Below are 17,726 nucleotides of genomic sequence, written 5' to 3'. Positions count from 1 at the left end.
TAGGAATCTCTTCTATGATGCCATTTTATTGAGTTAGAAAAAAAATTACCTTATCCTCAATTTGCATGACACCACTAGAACAATGCCAAAGGGAACAGAGAGATCAATAAACAGTAACGGAGTCTTGGTATGGTGGCACTTTGGGAGGCTGAAGTGGAAGGGTTACTTGAGCTCAGGAGTTTGAGACCAGCCTGGACAACATGGCAAAACCCCATCTCTACTAAAAATACAAAAAATTAGCTGGGCATAGTGGTGTGCACTACTTGGGAGGCTGACGTGGGAGGATGGCTTGAGCCCAGGAGGTGGAGGTTGCAGTGAGCCCAGATCATGCCACTGTACTCCAGCCTGGGCAACAGCCTTTTCTCACTTTCTCAAAAAAAGAAAAAAAGTAACAGAAACATCCTATATAATCACCTATATTGTTAAAAAGAAAAGCAAATAGTGTAAGATAGTTTCCTCTTTAACTATGGCCCACCAAGTACTTAAAAAATAGTATGAATATATGAATATGGTCTCCCCACTCACCTCCCAATCACAGTTATTGTTTTAATGGTTTAATGTTTGTGTGGTCCTTTTCCCTGCAACAGTTTGCATGGAAGAATGTTCCCCAATTTTCCTGTGTAAAGCAGGTAGACAAACCAGAAAGACAGAAAATTTCTGATTTTGTACATGGCTACATAATTAAAAACTCTGTACCCCTCATGGAAACTAGCTTGTTGGTGGAGGTGAATGAATTATTCTTAGCACATGAGGATAAATATCAGATATGGACGGATAGTTTATTAAGTGACAATCTTGTCTATTGGGGGAAAATTCATTATTTTTATTTTCTGGAAGGCCATCTCCAATGCTGAGTGTATATTTTGGTTTGTAGAGTACAGACACCTTTAAAAATGTTTAATCACTCATGTTTTCAAAGATGTAGTACATACACATGGGACCAAATTCAAAAGATACAAAATAATTTACAGGAAAGTCCCCATCTTATTCCCACTCTCCAGGGAAAACCACTGTTAACAGGTTTTTGTGTTACCTTCCAGAAACATTTCTATGCACGTACCAGCAAATACATACTGTCCCAATCCTTATTTTCTTCTCACTTATCTCTTTATCTTGGATATGGTTCCATATCTGTACGTAAAAATGAACTTTGGTCTATTTCACATGGGTTGAAGACACATTTTATATCCTATAAATGTAAAATGGGGCTGGCATGGTGACTCACGCCTGTAATCCCAGCATTTTGGGATGCTGACACGGGAGGATTCCTCGAGCCCAGGAATTAAAAACCAGCCTGGGCAACATAGGGAGACTGTCTCTACAAAAAATTTTAAAAATTAGCCAGGCACTGGGGGTACTCACCTGTGGTCCCAGCTACTCAGGAGGCCGAGGTAGGAGGATTGCTTAATCCTGGAGGTCAAGGCTGCGGTGAGCTATGACTGTGCCACTGCACTCCAGCCTGAGCAATAGAGTAAGACCCTGTCTCAAAAAACAAAACAAACCAACCAACCAACCAGGAAAACAAAACCAACCCTGGTCAGTGTGGTGGCTCACACCTGTAATCTCAGCACTTTGGAAGGCCAAGGAAGGAGGAATGCTTGAGCCTAGGAGTTTGAGACCAGCCTGGGCAATAAAGCAAGACTTTATTTCTACAAAACATTTAAAAATCAGTAAAAAAATAAAAATAGGCCGGGCGCAGTGGCTCACGCCTGTAATCCCAGCACTTTGGGAGGCCGAGGCGGGTGGATCACAAGGTCAGGAGATTGAGACCATCCTGGCTAACATGGTGAAACCCTGTCTCTCCTAAAAATACAAAAAATTAGCCAGGTGTGGTGGCAGGTGCCTGTAGTCCCAGGTACTCGGGAGGTTGAGGCAGGAGAATCGCTTGAACCTGGGAGGCTCAGGAGATCAAGACCATCCTGGCTAACATGGTGAAACCCCGTCTCTACTAAACATACTAAACATACAAAAAATTGGCCAGGTGTGGTGGCGGGCACCTGTAGTCCCAGCTACTCGGGAGGCTGAGGCAGGAGAATGGCATGAACCCAGGAGGCGGAGCTTACAGTGAGCCGAGATGGCGCCCCTGCACTCCAGCCTGGGCGAAAGAGCGAGACTCTGTATCAAAAAAAAAAAAAAAAAAGAAGTTACCCGTGGTTCCTTGCCAGATGACTTCCTTACAACATGGTGGCTCATTTCTCCAAGGCCAACAGGAGAATCTCTCACTCTAGTCAGCTAAGACAGAGTCCTCCACAATGGAACTTAATCACAGGACTGATATCCCATAACCTCTGTCATATTCTATTGGATAGACACAAATCACAAGTTCCACCCTTTTTTAAAAATTTTTATTTTTTTTTGAGACAGAGTCTCGCTCTGTTGCCCAGGCTGCAGTGCAGTGGTGCAATCTCGGCTCACTGCAACCTCTGCTTCCCAGGTTCAAGTGATTCTCCTGCCTCAGACTCCTGAGTAGCTGGGACTACAGGCACCTGCCACCATGTCTGGCTAATTTTTGTATTTTTAGTAGAGACAGGGTTTCACCATGTTGGTCAGGCTGGTCTCAAACCCCTGACCCCAGGTGATCCACCCACCTTGGCCTTCCAAAGTGTTGGAATTACAGGCATGAGCCACCACACCCGGTTATGTTCCACCCATATTTAAGGGCAGATTATACGAGGGTGTAACACATTGGAAGTCTTCTTAGAATTCTGCCTAGTACAGAGGGGTAAGTCAGTCTGCTGTTCCTAGCCCTTGAATTGTTTTCCCTAAACCTGGCCTATACCTTTAAATGGTCCCTCAATTAAATTCTCTTCAAATTACCCATTGGAGTGCTCCATCTGTTCCTGCCAGGACCCTTACTGGTAAAATCCCTCTGCAGGTGACCTGCTTTGATAATGTGCTTTCCTGAGTCTTTTTTGAGCCTGGGCCAGCTGGTGGCTGGACTTGAGAGAGCTCGGACTGAGCTAAACTGCTTAGCATTGCAAAGGAAAAGGTGGCAATGGCTTCCACTTGGCTGCAGCCAGGGAGAGTGAATGAAGAGAGAGCAGGGCCCCACAGCAGAGAAACTCGTAACAGATAACTAATGGGGAATCTGGGGGGTGAAATGCTGAGTGATACGCAGCGGAAACCTTCTCACAGTCTGTACATTTCACATTGTTCGCTCCTGCCTCAGGTTGGCATCTTCTCTTTGGGGAACAAAGGGAAGAACAGAGTCCTGCTTTGAAGCTCGTTTGAAGCATGAACAAACGGTGCCTGTAAACAACCATATCCGGGGTCTATGTGGCATCTGAGCCGCTGTGACACTTGGGAGTCACACTGCTCTCTATCAGCATTTTGAACACTCATCTTTTTATTGTCTTCTTTTTCCTTTAAAAAAATGTAAAAACAAACAAAAAGATTAAACAAATAAGAAAGAAAACAAAAACATAAAAACAGACTTCTCATTTTAAAAATTATATCACTTTAGGCCGGACTCGGTGGCTCACGCCTGTAATCCTAGCACTTTGGGAGGTCGAGGCAGGCAGATCACCTGAGGTCAGGGGTTCAGGACCAGCCTGGCCAACATGGCGAAACCCTGTCTCTACTAAAAACACAAAAATTAGCCGGGAGTTGTGGCGCATACCTGTAATCCCAGGTACTCCGGAGGCTGAGGCAGGAGAATCGCTTGAACCCAGGAGGTGGAGGTTGCAGTGAGCTGAGATCGCACCACTGTATTCCAAGCCTGGGCAACAGAGTGAGACTCCAACTGAAAAAAAAAAAAAAAAAAAAATATATATATATATATATATATATATATATATAACTTTAGAACATTCACTGTCATTTTTTTTTAAATGTGCTTGTTAAAAAGTACAACAGTTCCTAGACAACTGGTCCCAATGCATAAAGAGGCCCTGTCTGAAGCTTGAAAACTTGCCCTATTACTTAGCATTGCACATTTGCGATTATTTCATTAACTATAATGCACAATAATCCAGTGACCTATCTTCAAAGGATCCAAGGCTAGAGAAGCAAAACTACTAACCTAAAAGCAAAATATTTTAGAAAGCAGCCCAAACAAGGTGATGGTTTACATCTTGCAACGTTACATTTATTTGAGTATTTGAGAAGCATAAAAGCATAACCTTAAATCCCATTTAATTGCATCCTGAAGACCATCATGTAAGTCATCATGGCCATTCTCAGGGACAGCATGGAACAGTGGTTCTCAAAATGTGGTCCCCAGACCAGAATCACCAGCATCACCTGGGAAGCACTTGTGGGCAATGCAAATTCTTAGACCCCGACCCAGACATGTGAATTGGAAACTCTGGGGCTGGACAAAGTAATCTATGGTTTAACAAGCCTCCAGGTGATTCTTACATACTCTATAGATCGATAATCACTGGCTAGAAACAGAAAGACTAGTACTTAATGACTTTCACCAGTGTGTGTAAGGGTAGTGCTCTTTAAACAGACAGAGAGAGAAGGAGGTATCAGTAACTTGAAAACTAAGGTTCCTTCTCATGGCTATCTGGGATGTCAGGCAAGAGCAAACCTATTGCAGGCGCTGTCCATAGGTTACTAGGCAACACCACCTCTTCTCCACACCAAATCTCTCCATTCTTTTCCTTTGAGCTTATTTTAGTATTCGGTTGAACAGTTTTAGTTCAGCAGGTCGAGATTTTGTAAGGCTCATTGTCTGGGGATGGTTCAGGATACATGAAACTACTTTTAAAGGGCATCTTTTAAAATGAGCATTTTTTTTTCATTTTAATTATTGTTCTTCAGAAACTAGAGGTTGAGACAGATGAGCTCTTATAATCTCTCCCAATTCAGAATTCCATAAAGTTCAAATGCTACTCTAAAAATTGCTTTAAATATGATGACTTTAAAAAACCAGATTAACCAGCAGTGTAATGTTTTCTATTTGAAAGATTTCTCATGATTGTTTCCAGTTACTCCTCCTAATTTCTCTTTTGCCAACTCTTTCCCACAAGAAGGGAAAAAAAAAATCTGTACATCATTTGTTCATTTATTCATGCATTCATTCTATTAACTTTGGCTGAGGATAAAAAATGTGGCAGGAGATGCAGAAAAGGCCTTCAACAAAATTCAACAGCCCTTCATGCTAAAAACTCTCCATAAACTAGGTATTGATGGAACGTATCTCAAAATAATAAGAGCTATTTATGACAAATCCACAGCCAATATTATACTGAATGGGCAAAAACTGGATGTATTCCCTTTGAAAACTGGCACAAGACAGGGATGCCCTCTCTCACCACTCCTGTTCAACATAGTCTTGGAAGTTCTGGCCAAGGCAATCAGGCAAGAGAAAGAAATAAAGGGTATTCAATTAGGAAAAGAGGAAGTCAAATTGTCCCTATTTGCTGATGACATGATTGTATATTTAGAAAACCCCATCGTCTCAGCCCAAAATCTCCTTAAGCTGATAAGCAACTTCAGCAAAGTCTCAGGATATGAAATCAATGTGCAAAAATCACAAGCATTCCTATACGCCATTAACAGACAAACAGAGAGCCAAATCATGAGTGAATTCCCATTCACAATTGCTACAAAAGAATAAAACACCTAGGAATCCAACTTAAAGGGATGTGAAGGACCTCTTCAAGGAGAACTACAAATCACTGCTCAATGAAATAAAAGAGGACACAAACAAATGGAAGAATATTCCATGCTTATGGATAGGAAGAATCAATATCATGAAAATGGCCATACTACCCAAGGTAATTCATAGATTCAATGCCATCCCCATCAAGCTACCAATGACTTTCTTCACAGAATTGGAAAAAACTACTTTAAAGTTCATATGGAACCAAAAAAAGAGCCTGCATTGCCAAGACAAGCCTAAGTAAAAAGAACAAAGCTGGAGGCATTATGCTACCTGACTTCAAACGGTACTACAAGGCTACAGTAACCAAAACAGCATGGTACTGGTACCAAAACAGATATATAGACCAATGGAACAGAACAGAGGCCTCAGAAATAATGCCACAGATCTACAACCATCTGATCTTTGACAAACCTGACAAAAACAATAAATGGGGAAAGGATTCCCTATTTAATAAATGGTGGCTGGGAAAACTGGCTAGCCATATGTAGAAAGCTGAAACTGGATCCCTTCCTTACACTTTATACAAAAATTAAGTCAAGATGGATTAAAGATGTAAATGTTAAACCTAAAACCATAAAAACCCTAGAAGAAAACCCAGGCAATACCATTCGGGACATAGGCATGGGCAAGGACTTCATGTCTAAAACACCAAAAGCAATGGCAACAAAAGCCAAAATAGACAAATGGGATCTAATTAAACTAAAGAGCTTCTGCACAGCAAAAGAAACTACCGTCAGAGTGAACAGGCAACCTACAGAATAGGAGAAAGATTTGGAATCTACCCATCTGACAAAGGGCTAATATCCAGAATCTACAAAGAACTCAAACAAATTTACAAGAAAAAAACAAACAACCCCATTAAAAAATGGGCAAAGGATATGAACAGACACTTCTCAAAAGAAGACATCTATGCAGCCAACAGACACGTGAAAAAATGCTCACCATCACTGGTCATCAGAGAAATGCAAATCAAAACCACAATGAGATACCATCTCATGCCAGTTAGAATGGCAATCATTAAAAAGTCAGGAAACAACAGATGCTGGAGAGAATGTGGAGAAATAGGAACTGTTTTACATTGTTGGTGGGAGTGTAAATTGGTTCAACCATTGTGGAAGGCAGTGTGGTGATTCCTCAAGGATCTAGAACTAGAATTACCATTTGACCCAGCAATCCCATTACTGGATATATACCCAAAGGATTATAAATCATGCTACTATAAAGACACATGCACACGTATGTTTATTGCGGCACTATTCACAATAGCGAAGACTTGGAACCAACCCAAATGTCCATCAATGATAGACTGGATTAAGAAAATGTGGCACATATATACCATGGAATACTATGCAGCCATAAAAAAGGATGAGTTTATATCCTTTGCAGGGACATGGATGAAGCTGGAGACCATCATTCTGAGCAAACTATCACAAGGATAGAAAACCAAACACCGCATGTTCTCACTCATAGGTGGGAACTGAACAATGAGATCACTTGGACACAGGGCGGGGAACATCACACACTGGGGCCTGTTGCGGGGTGAGGGACTGAGGGAGGGATAGCATTAGGAGAAATACCTAATGTAAATGATGAGTTGATGGTTGCAGCAAACCAACATGGCACATGTGTACCTATGTGTCAAAACTGCACGTTGTGCCCACGTACCCTAGAACTTAAATTAAAAAAAAAAAACAACAATGTGGCAGGAGTGCAATAGCTGATGGTTATACAAGCAGCTTCCAACCCAGTAAAGGGGAAAGACATGGAAAGAGATCACCACAGAACAGTGTACGAATGCAACCACTAGAATAGGCCCAGTGTATTCCCAGAGCTCAGAGTAGTGACCTTGAAGATGAAGCCAGGGAAGCCTTCATGGATGATGTAAGTAGGTGTTATGGAGTGGGAGAGGGAGGGAAGGCACAGAGGTGAGAAAAGGCCTGGCAAATGCAGATGAATGGCTGCAGTCCATAGTCAGAAGCAGGAGGTGTCAATAGTGAGGTTTGTAGGGACCTGATTGATGAAGGAGCTGAAGGAGATGGGCAGCCACTGAAGAACTAAAAGCAGGAAGGATATGATTATATTTGCATGGAAGGATTTCCTCTTCAGCAGCTGAGGAAGAAATTAGGGAGCCGGGCATGGTGGCTCATGCCTGTAATCCTAGCACTCTGGGAGGCCGAGGCGGGCGGATTGCCTGAGCTCAGGAGTTCAAGACCAGCCTGGGCAACATGGAGCAACCCCGTCTCTACTAAAAAAAAAAATCCACAAAGTAGCTGGGCATGGTGGTGTATACCTGTAATCTCAGCTACTCGGGAGGCTGAGGCATGAGAATCGCTTGAACCCAAGAGGCGGAGGTTGCAGTGAGCCAAGATCATGCCACTGCACTCCAGCCGGGGCGACAGAGCAAGACTCTGTTAAAAAAAAAAAAAAAAGGAAGAAGAAATTAGGAGATGATAGCACTGAGCAAGACAGACTGCTGAGGATGAGGATGCTGACACAGTGGTCCAAGAGAGAATGACATAGACTTGGACTGGGACATTGGTAATGAGGATAGAGAAAACTGGACTAACTTGAGAAATACCCAAGAGGCTAAACAGGCAGAACTGAGTGATTCCTTGGGTGTTGATAATGAAGGACAGGAAGGAGTTTAGAATGAAACCCAATTTCTAACCTAGTGATAGGTGGTGTTTCCACTGGAGATTGAGAATACTGGAGGAAGAGATAGTTTAGGTTCTGTTTTGGTACATGTGAGATGTTTATCTATCCATCTAGTAGGAAATAGGATATATGAGTTATCTTCTTAAGGAGGAAAATAAAAGTTTTAGAGTAACAGATTTGGGAGTTGTCAATGTAGAGATAATGTTGAAACAATGAGTGAGTGTGGAAAACATCACCCAGATAAAATGTAACAAAGACTGGGGTGGGGGATTAAGCCTTGGGGGACCTTGGAGTTTAAGGAGTTAAGGAGTGAGTGGAAGAAGATAAGCCCATAAAAGAGAGAATGATAAATGTCAGGAAGAATCAAAAGATTCATAAATGTCAGGAAATGTAAACCAGTAAATGTCACAGAAGTCAAAAGGAACAAATGTTTCAGGAAGGAAGGATAAGTTAGCAATGAACAATGTCTCCAAAAGATACAAGAAGTTGGCTGAAAAACACTCACGGCACAGAGCAATTAGGAAGTCATTGGTTGTCTTTAAGGAGCATATTTTTAATAGAAAAAAGAATGCAGGGGTTTGTGGGGCAAAAGGAAGTTGAAGGGGAGAGAGAGAATGTAGACAACTCTTCGGAGAAGAGAGAAGCTGGGCAGAGATTATTTTCTTTTTAAATGAGTGAGGCTAGAATAATTTGTCATCTAAAGCAAGATACTCATGAGAGGGAAATGATGAAGAAAATCAGAGAAATAAAGGGCCAGAGCAAAATCTAGCAGGAGAAGGAGTGGTGCCACAGAAATGGTGAAAGCAAGTAAAGACATGCACTATCCATAGCTGCCTGGAGGAAAGGATGCAGGAGCAGGCAAGCAGAAGACAGACTCAAAAGCCTAAGAAGGAGACAGTGAGGAGGAATAGTCTTGGGGGAGGAGTGGGGAGGAGGAATAAATGCTCTGAAGGGCTGCCTTGCATACTGTGGAATCTAGTGCAACACACAAGCTCAAAGCCAGATATAGGCTCAGAATAAATCATACACTTGCACCTCTGGCTGTTCTTTGGGCTCCACACAAGCAGGAGGTAAAGGCTAAGGCACAGTTGAGGGAGCACCCCAGCCAATATGCAAAGACCAATGGAGTTGCTTTTATTTTTCTTTTTGGCTCCAGGCATTCAAGGAAACCTCTGTCAGGTCACTGGCTGACCACTGAAATAATAGAACACAGACTTCAGTGACTACGCAAACAAAGAACATGGTCTGTACAAAAATAGTTTGGAAAAGTCACTAAACAAACAGATTACTGCAGTCCTCAACAATCAACAACAGCAAACCCTGGGGAGAACAGAAAGTATGCTATCTAGAGTTACCACAGTATAATATTCAAAACGTCCAGTTTTCAACAACAAAAAATACAGGCATACAAAGAAACAGGAAAGTATGGCCCATCCACAGAAAAAAAAAATAGACAAAACCCATGCTAGAGGAAGCCAGACATTGGAATGACTAGAGAAAGAGTTTAAATATATAAATATAACATATTAAATAATATAACTTTAAATATCAACCACCTTACATTTGCTCAAAGACCTAAAGGAAACCAATAGATGAACAAGTAAAGGTTATCAATAAAGAAATGTAAATTGTAAAAGAAACCAAATTTTAAACAACTGGAGCTGGAAGTTCAATAGCTAAAAAAAAATTTACTAGAGGGATTCAGTGGTATATTTGAACAGGCAGAAGAAAGAATCAGTGCACCTGAAGATAAAATAATTGAAATTATCCAGTTCGATGAGCATAAAGATAAAAGAATGAAAAACGAACAGAGCTTAAGAGACTTGTGAGATACCATCAAGCACACAAACATGAAAAAGAGTTAGAAAGACATTTGAATGGCCCCAAAGTCCCAATTTGATGAAAGACATAAGTACACATCCAAGAAGTTCAATGAACTCCAAGTAGGATAATCATGAAGAGATCCACACTATGATAATCAATCATATTTATAATCACACTGTCAACATCCAAAGGCAAAGAGATAATCTTGAAAATGGCAAGAGATAAGTGACTCATAATGCATTGATTATTCAATATATACCCCAATAAGACTGTTAATGTAATAATCATCAGAGACAATGACAGCCAGAAAGCAGTATAATGACATACCCAAGTGCTGAAATAAAAAAAAAAAAACTGTCTAGTAAGAATTCTATATCAAGCAAAATTGTTCTTCAAAAATTAGGAAGATATGGGCTGGGCATGGTGGCTCATGACTCTAAGTGATCCCAGCACTTTGGGAGGCCTAGGCAGGTGGATCACTTGAAGTCAGGAGTTCAAGACCAGCCTGGCCAACATGGTGAAACCCCGTCTCTATTTAAAAAAAATGCAAAAATCAGCCAGGCATTGTGATATGTGCCTGTAGTCCCAGCTACTTGGGAGGCTGAGGCAGGAGAATCACTTGAACCCAGGAGGCAGAGGTCGCAGTGAGCCAAGATTGTGCCACTGTACTCCAGCCTAGGCAACAGAGTAAAACTCCATCTCAAGAAAAAAAAAAAAGGAAGATATTAAAACATTCCCAGGTAAGCAAAAGCTAAGGGAGTTTGTTGCCCCTAGACTTACCCTGTAGGAAATGCTAAAGGGAGTCCTTTGGGCAGCAATGAAAGGACACTAGACAGTGAGTTGAAGTTGAAGTCATCTGAAGAAATAAAGAACTCTGGTAAAGATAGCTACATAGGTAAATATAAAAGCCAGTATTATTGTATTTCTAGTTTATACTTCCTATTTTTGATTCTTATGATTCAAAATACAATGCATCAAACAATAATTACAAATCTATGCAGTAGGCACATAGTGTATAAAGATGGAATTTGTGACAATAACAATATAAGGTGGGTACAAAGCTGTATAGGATAAATTTTATATGCTATAGAAGCTAAGTTTGGATCATTTCAAACAAGCAATGGTGTTATAAATTTAGGATGCTAAATGAAATCTCCATGGTAACCATTTTTAAATAACTTTTAAAATTACATAAAAGGAAACATGGATAAAGTAAAAATAGTCCACTAGAAAAAAATCAAACACAGAAGAAGGTAGTACTGAAGAAAACGAGGAACAAAAAAGATAAGACATTTAGAAAATAAATGGCTAAATGGTAGAATATAATGACTCAGTAATTTAATGTACAACATATATTTAACATATAATTATGTATATTAATATAAATATATTAAATAATATAACTTTAAATATAAATGGATTAAACTCACTAGTTAAAATACACAGACTGGCAGACTGCCAGTGAAACTATTCAGTGCAATACTTTAATAGTGGATACATGTCATTATACAATTGTTAAAACTCATAAAATGTACAACACAAAGAGGGAAGCCTAGTGTACTACATTAACGTAAGATGGTAACAATAGGAGAAATGGTGTGTAGGGGCAGCAGTAGGTATATGGAAACTCTCTGTACTTTCCACTCAACTTTTCTATAAACCTAAAACTTCTCTAAAAAAATAAATTCTATTAATTTAAAAATGTTTCAACTATATGCTGTTTATAAGTGACTCACTTTAGCTCTATAAGGTTGGAAGTGAAAGGATGTAAAAAGAGATTCTATGCAAATGGTAACTGAAGATGAGCTGGGGTATCTATACTAATATGAAGCAAAAGAGGCTTTAAGTCAAAAATGATTAAAAGACACAAAAAGGTCATTATATATTGATAAAAGGGTCAATTCATCAAGAAGCTATAACAACTATAAATATATACCCACCTAATAACAGAGCTCCAAAATATGTACTACATACCTTGACAGAACTCAAGGAAGAAATAGGCAGTTCTACAGTAATAGTTGAAGACTTCAATGTCCCAACCTTCAATAATAAATAGAACATCTAGACAGAAGATCCATAAGGAAACAGAGGACTTGCATAACACTATAAACAATTAGGCCTAACAGACATATATAGACCATCCTATCAAAAACAGCAGAATATACATTCTTCTCTAGGACAGACCATATGTTAGGCCACAAAAAACAGTCTCAATAAATTTTTAAAGATTGAAATAATAGAAAGTACCTTCTCAGATCACAACAGAACATTGTTAGAAATCAACTACAGGAGGAAAACTGGAAAAAAAAAGTGCAAGTACATGAAAAAGAAACAACATACTCTTAAACAACAAAGGGGTCAAAGGATAAATAGCAAGAGAAATAAGAATACTTTACAATAAATGGGAAAAATCCCCAATTCTTATACAGAAAAAGCAGTGTCCAGAGGGATATGTGTAAGTATAGATGCCTACATTAAAAAAAGAAAAGAAAAATCTCAAATCTATAACCTTTAAGGAACTAGAAGAAGAAAGCAAACCAAATCCAAAGCCAACAGAAGGAATAATTATAGCAGAGATTATTGAAATAGACAATAGGAAAATAACGGAATCAATGAAACTAGAAGCTGGTTCTTCAAAAAGATCAACAAAACTGACAAACCTTTTGCTAGACTGACTAAAAAAGTAGAAGATGCAAGTAACTAAAATTAAAGGTGAAAGTGGGTGTATTACTACCACTGTTGGTGAGGATGTGGAAAAATTGAAACCCTTGTACATTGCCTGAATATAAATGGTTCAGCCACTGTGGAAAATATTTTGGTGGTTTCTCAATAAGTTAACCATAGAATTACCATATGATCCAGCCTGGGTGACAGAGGGAGACTCCATCTCAAAAATAACTAAATAAATAGATAGATAGGTATGGGATTTTATTTGTGGGTGATGAAACTATTGAAACCAGATAGAGGTGGCTGTTGTACAACATTGTTAGTGCGTTAAATACCACTGAATTGTTGACTTCATTTATTTTTATTTTTTTTGAGACAGAGTCTCACTCTATTATCCAGGCTACAGTGGTGTGATCTCAGCTCACTGCAAACTCTGTCTCCGGGTTCAAGCTATTCTCATGCCTCAGCCTCCTGAGTAGCTGGGACTACAGGTATGTACCACCATACCCGGCTAATTTTTGTATTTTTAGTAGAGACAAGGTTTCGCCATGTTGGCCAGGCTGGTCTTGAGCAACTGGTCTCAAGTGATATGCCCACCTCAGCCTCCCAAAGTCCTGGGACTACAAGCATGAGCCACTGCACCCAGCTTGAATTGTTGACTTAAAAATAGTTCATTTTATGTTATATTAATTCAACTTCAATTTTTAAAAAATCCTGCAGGTGCTGAAAGAATAGGTCAGAACATAGGTAGAAAAGTTGACCTTAAACCAAAAAGGGAGAAGACAGATTTTAGAACACTGTGTAGTAGGAAAGGGTGAGAAATTGAAGGAAACGATTTTTGACAATGGCCTCAATTTTCTCAATAGAGTAAAAAGAAGAGCCACATTTATTGAACTATTACAATGTGTCAGGTACAGATGTATAATCTCCCTTAACTATCATAACAACCTAGTAAGGCAGATGCACTTGTTTTTCCCAATTAATAGATAAGGGATTGACTTTGAGGAATTAAGTGACTGGTTTAAGGTAATATAATTAGTCAGGGTCAAAGTCAGCATTTAAACTTCTGCAGTCTGACTCCAGATCTGGTTGTATCAAACTTTGTTCCTTGATACCGCCACTCTTGAGGCCAAATGGTTGAACCTAGATTGGGTTAGAAGTGGTGGAAAAGAATCAGAGAAGAAGCCAGTCAAGCAAGGTCAAGTAACACGGGTGATGACAAAAGCTGAGGGTCCAATTGATGCCTTCGCACATTCATCAACAAGGTGTGATTGCGTGCCTACCAAGATGCATGTGAACCTGCCTGCTGGTGTGATTTTTCTCTGGCAGCACTCAGTCTCCTGAGAGTAGGAGAGGAGAAACTTATCAGAATGATTGACCTGTGTTTGCATTTTCACTGAGTGGGTTTGGTAGAAGACAAAAGTACAAAAAACTTGACAGGAGGCCAGGAGGGGATCAATAGATTCAACTGTGGGGTTTGTGAGGTTGACAGCCAGGCATGGAAGGAAGGAAGGTGGGAAAAGTCTGGAAAAAGAGAAGGTTATGGCCAAAAGCTGGATGTTGATGTTTATGATTGGTTTTAGACAGGGGTATTTCCTAGTGAGGACAGGGCCAGGACGTGCCCATAGGAATAGGTGGCTGACGGGAAGTCCTTGGGCCTGAGAAGATTAAGACTTGGGAGGCTCTGAGGCAGGAGGGTAGCTTGAGACCAGGAGTTCAAAACAAGCCTGGGTAACATAGTGAGATCCTGTCTCTACACACACACACACACACACACACACACACACACACACACACACACACACACAGACCTGTGAAGCTAGCACATTGGATTGGGCAACCATATAAACCTTGAAGGTACCAAAAATTAGGACAGGACTTGGGTGGAATCAGCTGCCACAGTCTTCAATGACTATTGAGGAGTGGCCAAGTTGTCAGTGCAAGGCAGAGATGAGGAGGATAAATAGCTTAATGGCATAAGTCACAAAGGGACAGAGATTTTTAGAAGATGATGGTGGTATAATTGCAGTGGAGACCAAAAATAATGCAAACAAGCCACTTCCAACCTCTGACAAAAGGTGTAGACAAAAATTAGTTTTATTAGACTGAGAGTGGTGGCTTGTGCCTGTAATCCCAGCACTTTGAGAGGCTGAGATGGAAGGATTGCTTGAGCCAGTGAGTTTAAGACCAGCCTGGGCAATATAGTGAGACTTTGTCTTTACAAAAAAATCAAGAAAAAATTAGCTGGGGATAGTGGCACATGCCTGTAGTCCCAGCTACTAGGGAGGCTGAGGTGGAGGGATCGCTTGATTGGTTGAGGCTGCAGTGAGCCGTGATTGTGCCACTGCACTCTGGCCTGGGCGACGAGTGACATTTGTCTCAAAAAAAAATTGGTTGGTGTACTTGTGTTACCATAAAGTCTCACTGCTGCTATAATAATCATAGTACTGATAGTAATATTAATAACAACAAAAATATTATGTTATAAAGTGCTCTTGAAAATAAGTTGGAAAGATGCTTAGTAAATTCATGCTTTAAGAAATCACAGTTGGGTGTGGTGGCTCATGCCTGTAATCCCAACACTTTGGGAGGCCGAGACAGGTGGATCACTTGAGGTCAGGAGCTCGAGACCAGTCTGGCCAACCTGGTGAAACCCCATCTCTACTAAAAATACAAAAAATTAGCTGAGCATGGTGGCAGGCGCCTGTAATCCTAGCTACCCAGGAGGCTGAAGCAGGAGGATTACTTGAGCCCAGGAGGTGGAGGTTGCAGTGAGCCGAGATCGCGCCATTGCACTCCAACCTGGGCAACAAAGCGAGACTCTGTGTCAATAAATAAATAAATAAATAAATAAAGTCACTGAGTGGGTATGGTAGAAGATAGGAACACAAAGAACTTGACTATATGCCACATACTCTGCTTAGTATATTATCTGCATTATCTCATTTAACTATGTCAGTGATCCTATGAAGTAATAATTCTATTATCAGCTCAAATTTACAGATACAGAAAATGAGACTAGGTGAGATTAAGTAACTTATTTCAGGTTATACAGTGGCAGAGCCTAGATTCCAGCCCACATCTGCCTGACTCTAATACTCTTAAGGCCCTTCTATTAAACATCAGGGAAGAATCTGGGTTTATTTGCTCAAACTGGAAAGTGCCAAGGTTGAATAATTCTTAACTAACACCTTAGCAGATAGGAGGCTCTCTTTGGTTTACAACTCCAATTCCCTGAAGAAATCTAATTCTTCAGGGAAGGCTGAAGGCAATAGAAGACGCTATTGCCCCAGCATTAACTTGGTTTGCCTTGCTTTATTAGAATCTTCTGAAAGCACGAATTTACTAAACGTCTTTCCAACTCTATTTTCAACAGAGCTGTGAGCCACCGTGTGCTTTGTCATGCCGAGCTTTCTTCTCCAGAAAAGACATTCTTCTAATCTGGGGGGAGACAAATGATAAGTGAAGTAGTTCCAAGGCTCAACAAAGTGCCATAGAGTGACTCCTGTGAGAGAACAGACCAAAACGATTGGAAGTCTCTGGTCTAGATACACGAAGGCAGATGAGCACTGCGGAAGGGTGCCGAGATTGTCCACTGCTCAGGACAAGGAAAAGCAAGACGCTGGCTTGTTCACTGTCATAGGTTGAATGGTGGCCCCACAAAACCGATGTTCAAGTGCTAACTCAAATGTGATCTTATTTGAAAATCAGGTTTTTGTAGTTGTAATTAAGAATCTGGAGATGAGATCATCCTGCATTTATTTATTTATTTATTTATTTTGAGAAGTAGTTTTTGCTCTGTCATCCAGGCTGGAGTGTAGCGGCACAATCTTGGCTCACTGCAACCTCTGCCTCCCAGGTTCAAGCAATTCTCCTGTCTGAGCCTCCCAAGTAGCTGGGATTACAGGTGCCCGCCACCCTACCCAGCTAATTTTTGTATTTTTAGTAGAGATGGGGGTTTCACCATATTGGCCAGGCTGGCCTCGAACTCCTGACCTCAGGTGATCCGCCCATCTTGGCCTCCCAAAGTGCTGGGATTACAGACATGAGCCACCACGCCCGGCCAACTCTGCATACTTTAATATTTCCATACCATATTCAGCTTATTGTACAGTTTGGACTGTCAAAGCTATGCACATTTTAAGAATAATTTCTTGAGGGCAGGTTAATTCTGGTGTGTGTTACAGTCCTTTTGTAATTTCAGTAATTTCCTGAGTTGCAGAGGCCTAACTGAATCAATGTTAGGCATCTTGATGGAAAATAATGGTGATGGTTTAGGAGAGTGAGGAAAAAAAGATTTTCCAACTCAAAATCCTGATAAAAACATTTGGAGAGGTGGGTATACTATTGTATAAAAATGTTTAGGGCCGGGCGCGTTGGCTCATGCCTGTAATCCCAGCACTTTGGGAGGCCAAGGCAGGTGGATCACCTGAGCTCAGGAGTTCAAGACCAGCCTGGCCAACATGGTAAAACCCCATCTCTACAAAAATGCAAAAATTAGCTGGACGTGGTGGCGTGTGCCTGTAATCCCAGCTACTCAGGAGGCTAAAGCAGGATAATCGCTTGAACCTGGGAGGCAGAGGTTGCAGTGAGCCGAGATCGTGCCACTGCACTCCAGCCTGGGCAATACAGTGTAACTTCATCTCAAGAAAAAATAAATTAATTAATTTAAAAAATAACAAAAAATAAATGTTTAGATAAAGAAATCTAAACATTATGTGCCATATAACATTTCAATCAATGATGAACTGAATATACAACAGTGGTCCCAGAAAATTATAATACTCTATTTTTACTATACTTTTTCTGCATTCAGACACACAAATACTTAGCATTGCATTACAGTTGCCTACAGTACTCAATGACATGCTATAGAGGCTTGTTGCCTAGGAGCAATAGACTAGACCATCCAGCCTAAGTGTGCAGTAGGCTATGCCATCTAGCCTTGTGTACGTGCTCGCTGTGT

This window comes from Homo sapiens, chromosome 18, assembly GCF_000001405.40.
Source record: "Homo sapiens chromosome 18, GRCh38.p14 Primary Assembly".
In the NCBI taxonomy this organism is placed as follows: domain Eukaryota; kingdom Metazoa; phylum Chordata; class Mammalia; order Primates; family Hominidae; genus Homo; species Homo sapiens.
The sequence above is the reverse complement of the archived record's forward strand: the minus strand, read 5'-3'. Positions refer to the sequence as shown.